The sequence below is a fragment of the Homo sapiens genome, chromosome 6, assembly GCF_000001405.40.
Source record: "Homo sapiens chromosome 6, GRCh38.p14 Primary Assembly".
NCBI classification, from domain to species: domain Eukaryota; kingdom Metazoa; phylum Chordata; class Mammalia; order Primates; family Hominidae; genus Homo; species Homo sapiens.
In genome coordinates this window covers 51,865,938-51,881,750 of record NC_000006.12, presented here as the reverse complement: position 1 = coordinate 51,881,750, position 15,813 = coordinate 51,865,938, and the positions used below count along the sequence as shown (strand labels likewise).

The window sequence follows — 15,813 nt, the reverse complement described above, 5'->3', positions numbered from 1 at the left end:
CTGGTTAACTTCTTGAACTTAGGGGAAAATGGAGGCTTGGAAACTTGAATGGCAGTTTAAGGTTCATGCCTAGTATTGTGGAGCTAGGACCACCCTGATATCCTCCCACTCCTGGTCAAATATTCTTCAATTGCACATGGAAAATGGCTTTGGCAAAGGACATTTATTAGTGTTCATACCAATGTTCCCTGAAGTGTTTTTCATGAAAAGCTAGCCCTTAGATAGTGTCTGGAAAGAGAAGATTATTTGGTTATAATTATATTTATACTGTGCTGTTTACCGTACCCTCTATTTCCCAAAATCTCCAACAAATCCAGAGATGTAATGTACAACATAAGCATTAGAGATAATAAAATTGTATTGTGTCAGGGAATTTTGTTAAATAAGTGGATTTTGGCTGCTCTTGTCACAGAAAAGTAACTGTGAGATAATAGATATGTTGATTTGCTTCACTATAACCTATGTGTACCCTGTAATATGTTGTAAATCTCAAATATACAGAATAAAATTCATTGAAAAAATACACTAAAGGCTCTGAGAAATTCTAGCATTAAAGTGAACAAGCAAAAAAAAATCTATTAATCTTTACTTAGCACAGTATTTTTCAGATTTATTTGGGAACCACTATGTTGCCAGGTGTCAGTTGTTCCAAAAAAAGAAAAAAAAAAAAAAAAAGAAAGAAAAAGAGGGTTCCTGACCTCTGTGGTTATGGGACTCTGATTTTAGCCTCTGTCTTTTGTGCCTGCCATTCCTTTAGGAATTAACACTTTCTTTTTTTTTTTTTTGAGACGGAGTCTCGCTCTGTCGCCCAGGCTGGAGTGCAGTGGCGCGATCTTGGCTCACTGCAAGCTCCGCCTCCCGGGTTCACGCCATTCTCCTGCCTCAGCCTCCTGAGTAGCTGGGACCACAGGCACCTGCCACCACGCCTGGCTAATTTTTTGTGTTTTTTTTTTTTTTTTTTTTTTTTTTTTAATTTTTTTTTTTATTATACTCTAAGTTTTAGGGTACATGTGCACATTGTGCAGGTTAGTTACATATGTATACATGTGCCATGCTGGTGCGCTGCACCCACTAACGTGTCATCTAGCATTAGGTATATCTCCCAATGCTATCCCTCCCCCCTCCCCCGACCCCACCACAGTCCCCAGAGTGTGATATTCCCCTTCCTGTGTCCATGTGATCTCATTGTTCAATTCCCACCTATGAGTGAGAATATGCGGTGTTTGGTTTTTTGTTCTTGCGATAGTTTACTGAGAATGATGGTTTCCAATTTCATCCATGTCCCTACAAAGGACATGAACTCATCATTTTTTATGGCTGCATAGTATTCCATGGTGTATATGTGCCACATTTGCTTAATCCAGTCTATCATTGTTGGACATTTGGGTTGGTTCCAAGTCTTTGCTATTGTGAATAGTGCCGCAATAAACATACGTGTGCATGTGTCTTTATAGCAGCATGATTTATAGTCCTTTGGGTATATACCCAGTAATGGGATGGCTGGGTCAAATGGTATTTCTAGTTCTAGATCCCTGAGGAATCGCCACACTGACTTCCACAATGGTTGAACTAGTTTACAGTCCCACCAACAGTGTAAAAGTGTTCCTATTTCTCCACATCCTCTCCAGCACCTGTTGTTTCCTGACTTTTTAATGATTGCCATTCTAACTGGTGTGAGATGATATCTCATAGTGGTTTTGATTTGCATTTCTCTGATGGCCAGTGATGATGAGCATTTCTTCATGTGTTTTTTGGCTGCATAAATGTCTTCTTTTGAGAAGTGTCTGTTCATGTCCTTCGCCCACTTTTTGATGGGGTTGTTTGTTTTTTTCTTGTAAATTTGTTTGAGTTCATTGTAGATTCTGGATATTAGACCTTTGTCAGATGAGTAGGTTGCGAAAATTTTCTCCCATGTTGTAGGTTGCCTGTTCACTCTGATGGTAGTTTCTTTTGCTGTGCAGAAGCTCTTGAGTTTAATTAGATCCCATTTGTCAATTTTGGCTTTTGTTGCCATTGCTTTTGGTGTTTTGGACATGAAGTCCTTGCCCACGCCTATGTCCTGAATGGTAATGCCTAGGTTTTCTTCTAGGGTTTTTATGGTTTTAGGTCTAACGTTTAAATCTTTAATCCATCTTGAATTGATTTTTGTATAAGGTGTAAGGAAGGGATCCAGTTTCAGCCTTCTACATATGGCTAGCCAGTTTTCCCAGCACCATTTATTAAATAGGGAATCCTTTCCCCATTGCTTGTTTTTCTCAGGTTTGTCAAAGATCAGATAGTTGTAGATATGCGGCATTATTTCTGAGGGCTCTGTTCTGTTCCATTGATCTATATCTCTGTTTTGGTACCAGTACCATGCTGTTTTGGTTACTGTAGCCTTGTAGTATAGTTTGAAGTCAGGTAGTGTGATGCCTCCAGCTTTGTTCTTTTGGCTTAGGATTGACTTGGCGATGCGGGCTCTTTTTTGGTTCCATATGAACTTTAAAGTAGTTTTTTCCAATTCTGTGAAGAAAGTCATTGGTAGCTTGAAGGGGATGGCATTGAATCTGTAAATTACCTTGGGCAGTATGGCCATTTTCACGATATTGATTCTTCCTACCCATGAGCATGGAATGTTCTTCCATTTGTTTGTGTCCTCTTTTATTTCGTTGAGCAGTGGTTTGTAGTTCTCCTTGAAGAGGTCCTTCACATCCCTTGTAAGTTGGATTCCTAGGTATTTTATTCTCTTTGAAGCAATTGTGAATGGGAGTTCACTCATGAGTTGGCTCTCTGTTTGTCTGTTTTTGGTGTATAAGAATGCTTGTGATTTTTGTACATTGATTTTGTATCCTGAGACTTTGCTGAAGTTGCTTATCAGCTTAAGGAGATTTTGGGCTGAGACGATGGGGTTTTCTAGATAAACAATCATGTCATCTGCAAACAGGGACAATTTGACTTCCTCTTTTCCTAATTGAATACCCTTTATTTCCTTCTCCTGCCTGATTGCCCTGGCCAGAACTTCCAACACTATGTTGAATAGGAGCGGTGAGAGAGGGCATCCCTGTCTTGTGCCAGTTTTCAAAGGGAATGCTTCCAGTTTTTGCCCATTCAGTATGATATTGGCTGTGGGTTTGTCATAGATAGCTCTTATTATTTTGAAATACGTCCCATCAATACCTAATTTATTGAGTTTTTAGCATGAAGGGTTGTTGAATTTTGTCAAAGGCTTTTTCTGCGTCTATTGAGATAATCATGTGGTTTTTGTCTTTGGCTATGTTTATATGCTGGATTACATTTATTGATTTGCGTATATTGAACCAGCCTTGCATCCCAGGGATGAAGCCCACTTGATCATGGTGGATAAGCTTTTTGATGTGCTGCTGGATTCGGTTTGCCAGTATTTTATTGAGGATTTTTGCATCAATGTTCATCAAGGATATTGGTCTAAAATTCTCTTTTTTTGTTGTGTCTCTGCCCGGCTTTGGTATCAGAATGATGCTGGCCTCATAAAATGAGTTAGGGAGGATTCCCTCTTTTTCTATTGATTGGAATAGTTTCAGAAGGAATGGTACCAGCTCCTCCTTGTACCTCTGGTAGAATTCGGCTGTGAATCCATCTGGTCCTGGACTCTTTTTGGTTGGTAAACTATTGATTATTGCCACAATTTCAGAGCCTGTTATTGGTCTATTCAGAGATTCAACTTCTTCCTGGTTTAGTCTTGGGAGAGTGTATGTGTCGAGGAATGTATCCATTTCTTCTAGATTTTCTAGTTTATTTGCGTAGAGGTGTTTGTAGTATTCTCTGATGGTAGTTTGTATTTCTGTGGGATCGGTGGTGATATCCCCTTTATCATTTTTTATTGTGTCTATTTGATTCTTCTCTCTTTTTTTCTTTATTAGTCTTGCTAGCGGTCTATCAATTTTGTTGATCCTTTCAAAAAACCAGCTCCTGGATTCATTGATTTTTTGAAGGGTTTTTTGTGTCTCTATTTCCTTCAGTTCTGCTCTGATTTTCGTTATTTCTTGCCTTCTGCTAGCTTTTGAATGTGTTTGCTCTTGCTTTTCTAGTTCTTTTAATTGTGATGTTAGGGTGTCAATTTTGGATCTTTCCTGCTTTCTCTTGTAGGCATTTAGTGCTATAAATTTCCCTCTACACACTGCTTTGAATGCGTCCCAGAGATTCTGGTATGTGGTGTCTTTGTTCTTGTTGGTTTCAAAGAACATCTTTATTTCTGCCTTCATTTCGTTATGTACCCAGTAGTCATTCAGGAGCAGGTTGTTCAGTTTCCATGGAGTTGAGCGGCTTTGAGTGAGATTCTTAATCCTGAGTTCTAGTTTGATTGCACTGTGGTCTGAGAGATAGTTTGTTATAATTTCTGTTCTTTTACATTTGCTGAGGAGAGCTTTACTTCCAACTATGTGGTCAATTTTGGAATAGGTGTGGTGTGGTGCTGAAAAAAATGTATACTCTGTTGATTTGGGGTGGAGAGTTCTGTTGATGTCTATTAGGTCTGCTTGGTGCAGAGCTGAGTTCAATTCCTGGGTATCCTTGTTGACTTTCTGTCTCGTTGATCTGTCTAATGTTGACAGTGGGGTGTTAAAGTCTCCCATTATTAATGTGTGGGAGTCTAAGTCTCTTTGTAGGTCACTCAGGACTTGCTTTATGAATCTGGGTGCTCCTGTATTGGGTGCATAAATATTTAGGATAGTTAGCTCCTCTTGTTGAATTGATCCCTTCACCATTATGTAATGGCCTTCTTTGTCTCTTTTGATCTTTGTTGGTTTAAAGTCTGTTTTATCAGAGACTAGGATTGCAACCCCTGCCTTTTTTTGTTTTCCATTGGCTTGGTAGATCTTCCTCCATCCTTTTATTTTGAGCCTATGTGTGTCTCTGCACGTGAGATGGGTTTCCTGAATACAGCACACTGATGGGTCTTGACTCTTTATCCAACTTGCCAGTCTGTGTCTTTTAATTGCAGAATTTAGTCCATTTATATTTAAAGTTAATATTGTTATGTGTGAATTTGATCCTGTCATTATGATGTTAGCTGGTGATTTTGCTCATTAGTTGATGCAGTTTCCTCCTAGTCTCGATGGTCTTTACATTTTGGCATGATTTTGCAGCGGCTGGTACCGGTTGTTCCTTTCCATGTTTAGCGCTTCCTTCAGGAGCTCTTTTAGGGCAGGCCTGGTGGTGACAAAATCTCTCAGCATTTGCTTGTCTATAAAGTATTTTATTTCTCCTTCACTTATGAAGCTTAGTTTGGCTGGATATGAAATTCTGGGTTGAAAATTCTTTTCTTTAAGAATGTTGAATATTGGCCCCCACTCTCTTCTGGCTTGTAGGGTTTCTGCCAAGAGATCCGCTGTTAGTCTGATGGGCTTTCCTTTGAGGGTAACCCGACCTTTCTCTCTGGCTGCCCTTAACATTTTTTCCTTCATTTCAACTTTGGTGAATCTGACAATTATGTGTCTTGGAGTTGCTCTTCTCGAGGAGTATCTTTGTGGCGTTCTCTGTATTTCCTGAATCTGAACGTTGGCCTGCCTTGCTAGATTGGGGAAGTTCTCCTGGATAATATCCTGCAGAGTGTTTTCCAACTTGGTTCCATTCTCCACATCACTTTCAGGTACACCAATCAGACGTAGATTTGGTCTTTTCACATAGTCCCATATTTCTTGGAGGCTTTGCTCATTTCTTTTTATTCTTTTTTCTCTAAACTTCCCTTCTCGCTTCATTTCATTCATTTCATCTTCCATTGCTGATACCCTTTCTTCCAGTTGATCGCATCGGCTCCTGAGGCTTCTGCATTCTTCACGTAGTTCTCGAGCCTTGGTTTTCAGCTCCATCAGCTCCTTTAAGCACTTCTCTGTATTGGTTATTCTAGTTATACATTCTTCTAAATTTTTTTCAAAGTTTTCAACTTCTTTGCCTTTGGTTTGAATGTCCTCCCGTAGCTCAGAGTAATTTGATCGTCTGAAGCCTTCTTCTCTCAGCTCGTCAAAATCATTCTCCATCCAGCTTTGTTCTGTTGCTGGTGAGGAACTGCGTTCCTTTGGAGGAGGAGAGGCGCTCTGCGTTTTAGAGTTTCCAGTTTTTCTGTTCTGTTTTTTCCCCATCTTTGTGGTTTTATCTACTTTTGGTCTTTGATGATGGTGATGTACAGATGGGTTTTCGGTGTAGATGTCCTTTCTGGTTGTTAGTTTTCCTTCTAACAGACAGGACCCTCAGCTGCAGGTCTGTTGGAATACCCTGCTGTGTGAGGTGTCAGTGTGCCCCTGCTGGGGGGTGCCTCCCAGTTAGGCTGCTCGGGGGTCAGGGGTCAGGGACCCACTTGAGGAGGCAGTCTGCCCGTTCTCAGATCTCCAGCTGCGTGCTGGGAGAACCACTGCTCTCTTCAAAGCTGTCAGACAGGGACACTTAAGTCTGCAGAGGTTACTGCTGTCTTTTTGTTTGTCTGTGCCCTGCCCCCAGAGGTGGAGCCTACAGAGGCAGGCAGGCCTCCTTGAGCTGTGGTGGGCTCCACCCAGTTCGAGCTTCCCAGCTGCTTTGTTTACCTAAGCAAGCCTGGGCAATGGCGGGCGCCCCTCCCACAGCCTCGTTGCCGCCTTGCCGTTTGATCTCAGACTGCTGTGCTAGCAATCAGCGAGATTCCGTGGGCGTAGGACCCTCTGAGCCAGGTGTGGGATATAGTCTCGTGGTGCGCCGTTTCTTAAGCCGGTCTGAAAAGCGCAATATTTGGGTGGGAGTGACCCGATTTTCCAGGTGCGTCCGTCACCCCTTTCTTTGACTCGGAAAGGGAACTCCCTGACCCCTTGCGCTTCCCAGGTGAGGCAATGCCTCGCCCTGCTTCGGCTCGCGCACGGTGCGCACACACACTGGCCTGCGCCCACTGTCTGGCACTCCCTAGTGAGATGAACCCGGTACCTCAGATGGAAATGCAGAAATCACCCGTCTTCTGCGTCGCTCACGCTGGGAGCTGTAGACCGGAGCTCATTTTTTGTGTTTTTAGTACAGACGGAGTTTCAACATGTTAGCCAGGATGGTCTCAATCTCCTGACCTCGTGATCCGCCCGCCTTGGCCTCCCATAGTGCTGGGATTACAGGCGTGAGCCACTGCGCCTGGCCAGGAATTAAGACTTTTAAAGAATTTGGCCTGTCCATTGTTAGACTTTCCACTCATATATAATTGGTGGCATACAATTATCTGTGAGTCACATCCTAAAATAAACATTACTTTCTGGAAGAACTTTTTATCATCAGAAGGAATTTTTTTCCTTTAAGCATACCTGTACGTGTGTTGGTACTCTCACAGCCAATGTTACCTTTGTATTGAGATGAATAGAATAATTTTCAGTACGAATGACTTAAATATACAAGAAAGACATGTGCTATATAGCATGACGATATATCCTAGTTTGGGTGCGTAGTTTGTTTATACCTATTGTCCCAGCATTCTGTCTAATTAACATACCCTTTCACACTAAAAAAAATGTCTAATTTTAATTTAAATTACGGTCACCCTACTTATCGAAGTATCTGTAGGATGGCTGTCTTCGTTGTTATTGTAATTAATTTGAGCAGATGATGCTACTTTAAAAAATACCGTATTCAGACAGATGCTGATGGAGTTGCTTCATTCTTCCTCCTATTTCTCTAGGGGTGATTTCCCATTTTCACTTGTGGATTTGTCTTCTTCAATTTAGACCTTTCATCTTTTTGTTTCCCTAAATTCTGTTGTAGGGCCCCTTTTCTTCTCAATATACTAGCTCTCCCTGGGAGAAATCTCATTTTCTCTAGTGGTTTCAATTACCTTCCACATGCTGATGTCTCCCATATATTTGCATTTATTTCTACCATCTTATTTTGCACTTTCAATTTGCAATCCGTTTTTGGTTTCTGTTTTTTTCTTCTTTTCTATTTTGATTTGTCTTGTGTTGCATATTTTTATATTTACTCATTTGAAAGTTATCCATTCTGTTATGATTATTTTAGCTATTGGCCTTAAGTTTTTAATGTGCCTGCTTGTCTTAACAAAGTCTAAATTACATCAGCACTGTTAAACTTTACATAAGTAATGCAAGGACATTAAACTCCTTTAGCTTCTTTCCTTACCCTCTCATCTTCTATGTTACCTTTCTCTAGTATTTGTCCTACTTTTTAAGGTAAATGTTTCATGGAAATATAACATTTATGGAGAAATGTGCACAAATCATAGGGGAATAGCTCAGTGGATTTTTACAAAGCAAACCAACCATGTATATGTATACAACTAAGAACAAGAAATAGAACATTGCCAGAGCAAGATCCTGTCTCTAAAAAATAAAAACTAATAATAAATAAATGAACATTATCAGCTCCTCTAAAGCCTCTTCTTGTCCCCCCATTCAACCCCACTCCGCACGCCCTAGCCAAAGGGCAAGCATTATTCAGCCTTCTATCGATATAGATTAATTTCTCCTGTTTTTTAAGTTGGTCTAAATGGAATCATAAAGCATGTAACTTATTGTACCTGGTTGTTTTCATCATTTGTAAGTTTGGTTATTTACAAATAATAATGCTATAAGCATTATTCTATATGCCTTCTGGTCTTCATGTGCATGCATTTCTGTTGAATATAAGCCAAGTTGTAAAATTGCTGGATCATCGTGTAACTTTAGTGGATAATGCCAAGCAACAATCCAGAGTTTATGCTTACACCAGCAATGTATAAGAAGGGTTTCAAAGCTCCATCTTAGAATCTCCCTTGAACATTATCCTGGAGATTTCCTTCATGTCTGTCTAGTATTGGAACTCTTGTTTCTGATTCGTACATCTTCTTCTTTTCTGGCTTAATTCCTCATTTTGTTTGAACATACCCTAAGGTAACTTTCTGAAAAAAAAAAAAAAAAAAAAAAAAGGAAACGATGGAAGGTGAAAGTTCTGAGCTATATATGGAGACCCCTTTATTAGTAGATTGTTGGTTACAGGATACCAGGTTGAAGTTCATTTTGCATTGAAATTTTGAAGGCAATATTCCATCATCTTGTAGCTCCTTCTGGTCTTGAGGCTGAATAGTTTTAAGATACTCAGATTCAGTGGCTCACACCTGTAATCCCAGCAGTTTGGGAGGCCGAGGTGTGCAGATCACCTGAGGTCAGGGGTTGGAGACCTGCCTGGCCAACATGGCAAAACCCTGTCTCTACTAAAAGTACAAAAATTAGCCAGATGTGGTGGCAAGCACCTGTAGTCCCAGCTACTCGGGAGGCTGAAGTAGGAGAATCACTTCAACCCAGGAAGCAGAGGTTGCAGTGAGCCGAGATCATGCCACTGCACTGCAGACTGTGCAACAGAGTGAGATTCTGTCTCAAAAAAAAAAACCAAAAAACAAAAACTCAGATTCCAGGATTTTTGTACGTAACTTATTTTTTTTCTCTCTGAAAGCTCTTAGGAACTTGTCCTTGTCCCTGGTGTTTTGCAATTTCAATATGATGCACTTTGCTGTGGCTCTTTTTCTAAACATTGTGCTAGATACTGAGTGGGACTTTTCAGTCTGGAAAATTATATCCTTTCCTTCTGCACAGTATTCTTCAATTATTTCTTTGATAATTCTTTCCCCTATGTTTTCCTCTTTTCCTTAAAGCTATGATTATTTAAATATTGGGCCTCCTGGAATGTTTTTCTCATCTTAATGTTCTTACTGATTTTCCATCTCTTTGTCTTTTTGTTCTACTTTCTATGATATTGAATTCCTTTTTTCTACTCTCCTATTTCCTTTTTTTTCTAAAAATAATATTTTAGGCTTCTATTTGTTTCATGGATATAATATACTTATTTCTCCAAGGCCATTAATTATAGTTTTTGTTTTCTTCTGATTTCTAGACTAGCTTTGTGTCCACTGAGTTTCTTTTCTGCTATTTGTTTATTGTTTCATCATTTTTCATGTTGGGAGTGATTGCAAAAATTCTGGTAATCCTCAAATGTAAGACTATTTTTAACAATGGAACAGTGAGGCACTAGCAGCTTGATTGGATAGTGTTTGTCAAAGAGATTTTGTGGAAAATCATGAAAACACTTATTGTTTCTTTCTTTTCAGACTTTTTGTTAAAGTTTTTAAAATATATTAATATACAGCAAAACTGACTTTTTGATGTACAGTTCTATGAGCTTTAACACATGTACACATTTGTGTAACAACCACCACGACAATCAAGACACAGAACAGTTGCATCCACCCCAGTTCCTTGCTCCATCTTTGTAGCCACAGCCTCCTCTTGCTTTAAACCACTGGCAATCACTAATATATTCTCTGTCACTATAGTTTTGCCTTTTCAACAGTCATATAAATGGAGTCATATAGTATGTAACCTTTTGGGACTGGCTTCCTTCACTCCTGAATGCCATTGGGATTCATCTAACTTGTTGCACATATCAATATTACATTCCTTATTATCGACGAATAGTATTCCATTAGATAGATGTAATGCAGTTTGTTAATCCATTCATTTATTGAGGTGCACTTGACTTGTTTCCATATTTGGTGATTATAAATGGAACTGTTATGAACATTTGTCTCAGGTTTTTATATAAATGTAAGTTTTCATTTCTCCAAGGTAAATACCTAGGAGTTGAATTGCTAGGTCATATGATAAGGGCATATTTAACTTTATAAGAAACTGCCAAAGTTTTCCACAGTGGCTGTCTCATTTTGCATTCCACTAGAAACAGGAGAGTTTTAATACTTTCTCATCCTCATCAGCACTTACTATTGTCACTGTATTTTTATTTATTCATTCAATAGGTGCATAGTATATTTTAGTGTGATCTTAATTTGCATTTCCCTAGTGAATAATGATGTTGAACATTTTTTTTTTCTGTGCTTATTTGCTATCTGTATATTTTCTTTTCTGGGTTATCTTTTGAAGGTTTTTTTTTCCTGATTTTTGAATTGCGTTGTCTATTTTCTTGCTGTTGAAACCTAAGAGTTCTTTCTATATTCTGGATATAGGTCCTTTGTCATATGTGTGATTGGCAAATATTTTCTCTTAGTCAATAGCTCGCTTTTTTATCTTTGTTTTTATTCATGCATTATGAATTGTATTTCATGTGTCCAGTTTTCTTATTTTGCTTTCATCTTTTTTTCTTTTAAATCACAGGGAAGTCTGTGTATGTCATCTGGGATTAAAACTCCTAAAAGATGGGAACTGATGGTGTCTAACACAACCTTTGTTAATTTTGATCTCATCAACTGTGTGGCCATTAGAACCTGTTCAGACTGTTCCCAAGGACAAGGTAATTATTTGAATAGACAGAACAGATGATAAATAAGGCCCATATTCAAGTCAGTATTATAAATAGTGGCAAATACTTTGTGAATCATTATCTCTTTCAGTTATAAGATTGCATCAGTAGAAACTGTTGCTTAAATCTCCTAAAAGACATCCTGGAGGTTCTCCCAGTACAGCTTCTGCAGCTCCCTGTCCTGCTCCTATTATGGTGCCTATCACATTCTATCATTATGGTCCTATGTCTCTGCTGGACTCTGACCTTCATAAAGGCAGAGATCATGTATTTCTTGCTCAGAGTTTTAATTATTAGTAGCTAGCACAGAGCCAGATGCCTAGTAGGCAGTTTATTGATTAAATGAAAGAATGGAGTTAGATGGGTAGATACCTGGTATAAACTAACATGCATACAGCCTTTCCTGAAGGAGCCAAAGTTCAGGTACTTAATGTTTTCAACAGTCCAGGGCTTGATGTATGCACAAAGGGAAACATAGGAGTTCTTGCTCACTTTTTAACCACATCTCAGAGGTGGTAAGAAATAACTTGGAGGACTCATGGGCCAAGGTGAAAGAGGTAGAGAGTAATCTAGTTGATTTGATCATCGTAAACAGCCAAACCAAGTAATTTAAGTAAATATGCTCTTGTGGTTTGAATCACCAATTTAGATAATTGTTTGTTTTTTTAATTAAATGAATAATCAACAAGTCTCCACTTTACTTTTTTTTCCTATGTAGGCAGAATGAAAGATTGTTTTTATTTGGGTGGCATCTGAGTTTAGGATTGTAGAAATAATAATAGAAATAAAAATGCCTCATAACAAGTGCTTGCAATCGCAATTCCTCAATTCTTTAATATCTTGACTATTTCATATCATTCATGAGACAGTGAAAAAAAATCACACTACTCCTATGAACTCTAATCCCTTTTCACTGAATAGTATTGGCTAACCCCTCTTTTCATTTGCTTAAATACCATCTATTTCAGGCTCTGCTTAAGGACCTAGGGGGTACAAATATAAAAAACACATAGTTTCTGTCCTCCAGGAACTCTTGATCTAGGCACTAAAATAAATGTCCAAGCCTATTATTGTAAGAGAGCATGATGAACGCAGTAATAGAGGACTCAACAAAGTCAGTGAAGGGGCCGAGGAAGGGGGTCAGGCAAGAGCTCATAGAGGTTATTCTTGAGTAGGGTTTAGGAAGGTGAATAGAAGTTTGCAAGAAGGTATATGCAAGGAAGAATTTCTAGGAACAGTATACACACAAAAAATAGAATCCAAGAAGTAAGTTGTGCTTGGGAAATCACAAAGAAGTCCAGTATGACTGAAATGTAGAGCTGCAGGTGGTTTGTGGTATCAAATGAAATACAGAAGTTGCAAGAGGTGCAATTGTGTAGCCTTTCATGTATGAATCAATTCACTGCATGTACTCTATTGGGCTGCAGAATGAAAACATTAGAGCCTCTATTTGTATCTTTTTCATTTTATTTTCTTTTTTTTATATTTTATAATGTACATAATATATTATGGTATGGTAGTATGTGTACTGGGAGATGTGTACTTAGTTTTCTTCCTTTAATGACATGGGTGTGTGAATTAGAAGATCACTGCCATACTTTCCTTTTAGGCAATTGGACTGATAGTACCAATGAGTCACATGGCAGTGGTGTTGGGGAAAGACTGCCAAGAAGTGTGGCCCTACAGCTAATACTTAGAAAGTGTATTACTAATACTATTTGCCCAAGTGATTAATTGAGTTTGCTTTTGAAAGTAAATGTTTAAATAAACCTTATAGTAAGAGGTATTGGAGGGGTTAGACTCACCACAGAGGAATGAAAGCTGAAAGATTGGAAGACTAAACCATAGCATCTTTGGTGCTTAGTAATTAATAAATTAATGTTTTCTGCTTCTATTTCCCACTAGACCAGAGTTTCTTACCCTTGGCACTATTGGCATTTTGGGTGAGATAATTCTTTGTTGTGGGGATTGTCCTGTGCATTGTAGGATATTTAGCAGCATCTCTGGTTTCTACCTACTAGCTGCCAGTAGCACTGCCAGCTCCCCAATTGTGACAGCCAAAAATGATTGAAAATAGTGCCATGTCTCTTGGAAGGTAAAATCAACCATGATAGAAAAATCACTGCCCTACAATGTGGACTATAGACTGCATGAAGGTAGGGCCAATGCTGCAGTTATACCTCTTAGTATCTCTAGCACACCAGAGCTTGGTAGACAGTAAACACTCACTGTAAAACACCCACAGAAAACACTTTTTTTCTTGCATGAATAGGTGAATTGTAAAACTAGATAAATATGCAATTTAAATCCTAAGACCATCACTCCAGTGAATTTAGTTGCTATTTGTGCCATTGTGTAATAATCTTTCTGTTTTCCAATTTATAGGTGGATTTACTGTGAAGACCAGCCAGTTGAAGTTTACAAACTCTTCAAACTTAGTGGCATTTCCATTTCCTCATGCAGCAATTTTGGAAGACTTGGATGGGTCTCTGTCTGGGAAAAACAGAAGTCACATTCTTGCTTCTATGGAAACCCTTTCAGCTTCTTGTTTGGTCAATTCAAGCTTTGGTCGGGTTGTCCATGGCAGTGCCTGTGGAGGAGGTGTTCTTTTTCATCGTATGTCTATTGGTTTGTAAGTGGAATTAACTATACTTTTTAGCTTGCCGATGGGCATGCATCTGTTATTCTGGCTGTCGAGGCTTATAGAAGGGAAATTGTTTTCTAGATTATTTGAAGTATTTAGCTCTAAAGAAGTGAAATGGGAATAATTTTGACAGCTGCTGAATCATGAGTGTATGGTAGTTTTAAGCTGACTCAAATGGCAGCTAACTAGCAATATCTTTGGACCAGATCTCATAGCTTGTGACCTCTCATTGACATTTTGGGCTAATAACTTCTTCTTAGAAAGACTTACAGCCAACAGAGAGTTTGAAATATATTTAAATTAAAAGTATTATTAAAAAATTCTAAAAATGTCCATTCTCATTTATATACATGTACTCTTCCCAAGCTCTTTTTAAGTGTTCAATATGCTCCAGGGAAGCAATTGCTGATGCCTCCTATTACTTGCAAGGTTGCTTCACTCCAGTTCATTTTCCTTGTTAATTTCATGAACTATTGGATTCCTACAATACATTTCCTATTAATATTGGAGCAAGGACTCCTTGGTTATGCTACTCAAACTACCATTAAGTCAGCAGCGGGGCTGTTTATAATGCATAATAGGATTGCTCCTGCCCTCTTTAATTTCCAGGTAATGATTGCTGAATGTCTAGGGTTCTGTCTTTTACTTATTCCAAATGCATTGTATATATTTAGCCACACTTATTTTCTTCCTTTGTCTTAAGTGTCCTAACTCCATGAGTATTAAGTCAAGTAATTCAGTCAGACCTCATTGGCCTCTTACTTGAACAAGTAAACTTCAGGGAGTGAGAATCATTGTGGTTAGGATTGCACTAACTCTGTATTTTGAATGCATGTGGAATCAGTGCTTTGGCATTCTGTTTTAGAAGCCTTAGCGATGCACTGGTAGCACTGAATAGTCTGGAAATTTTTCATTTTTGCTTTCTAGACATTCATTATTCTACCTGACGTTAATGAGCCCAATTCCAGTGAGTAAAATAATAATATGTAGGGATATATTTTTATTTCTAATCATTTTGATTGTGCAGAGCATGACTTTTTCTTCATTCTCAGGGATGCAGCCTGATTTTTATTATTTTAGTGTTTTTACCAAGGATGTTTTAAATGAGTGTTTTGAGAGTTATAAAAATTAGTGATTTATTTCTTACATGCATTTTATCAAATGAGGAAAATAGATTTGTGTACTTAAAAGGAACATTATATGCTTCTATAATATTTATTTCTGCGTGTTCCTGATAGTCCTTTATCATGCTTTACTTTGAGATCTACTGGTAGGCTGTCTCTTGGAGAGGCACTTGTCAATGTGATGTTAGAAGGCTCTGTAGTGCCTGAAACTTGTTTGAGCATTTGCTCTTTGAGATCTTTGGGACAGGATATTAAGGTACTTGCCTTGGCAGGTCATGATCCCACCACTTGGGGACTGACAAGGTCAAGAAAAATGTAATACTGATACTGTGTTCTAAGTAGATTCAAAAGGGTCTAGCAGGATGAAAAACTTATCCTGGTTTTCCTGGATTTTTTTCTTGTTTTAAAAAGGCAAATTCCATGTTCTGGAAACTTCCTCAGTCATCTAGGCTGATTGGTCACTCTACTCCTTAGATTCTATTTAAAATTTTCAGGTTGACTCACAGGTCTATGGACAAATACTCAACTGACCCTAATTAGTCACCTGGAAGTCTCAGCGTGCTTCCAGTTATAAATCTCTTGGCCCTGATGTGCTCACCTCTAGGAGAGGCAACTGAATTAGATGATCTCTAAGGTCTTGCTGCTCAAAATGTTGTCCATGGACCAGCAGCAGCAGCAGCACCAGGGATTTTTTTTAGAAATGCAGACTCTCAGACTGGGCCCCAGATGTCCTGAATTACAATGCCCAGGTGATTGGTATTAAAGTCTGAGAGGCACTCCTCTAAGGTC

At 38.7% G+C, this 15,813-nt stretch overlaps 1 protein-coding gene across 23 annotated transcripts in view, besides 2 other annotated features; it reads left to right on the top strand.

Annotated features, from left to right (window-relative positions):
- The window catches only part of PKHD1 (PKHD1 ciliary IPT domain containing fibrocystin/polyductin), a 472,317-nt gene that overhangs the window by 205,865 nt on the left and 250,639 nt on the right, over positions 1-15,813 (top strand). For all 23 annotated transcript variants that reach the window (XR_001743469.2, XM_017010944.3, XM_017010945.3 and 20 more), the window contains 2 exons: positions 11,112-11,247; positions 13,642-13,888. Coding sequence is in view for 22 of the 23 variants with exons in the window: in XM_017010944.3 (XP_016866433.1) it covers positions 11,112-11,247; positions 13,642-13,888 (383 nt within the window). In the remaining variant the exon portion in view is untranslated. The remainder of the gene's footprint in view (positions 1-11,111; positions 11,248-13,641; positions 13,889-15,813) is intronic.
- Positions 5,872-6,598: an enhancer, noted in NCBI's record as "OCT4-NANOG-H3K27ac-H3K4me1 hESC enhancer chr6:51739951-51740677 (GRCh37/hg19 assembly coordinates)". NCBI's record gives its function as "activates a minimal SCP1, AML or CMV promoter by ChIP-STARR-seq in naive H9 embryonic stem cells {active_cell/tissue: H9 hESC(naive)}" and the evidence as "EXISTENCE:reporter gene assay evidence [ECO:0000049][PMID:30033119]".
- Positions 6,599-7,325: an enhancer, noted in NCBI's record as "OCT4-NANOG-H3K27ac-H3K4me1 hESC enhancer chr6:51739224-51739950 (GRCh37/hg19 assembly coordinates)". NCBI's record gives its function as "activates a minimal SCP1, AML or CMV promoter by ChIP-STARR-seq in naive H9 embryonic stem cells {active_cell/tissue: H9 hESC(naive)}" and the evidence as "EXISTENCE:reporter gene assay evidence [ECO:0000049][PMID:30033119]".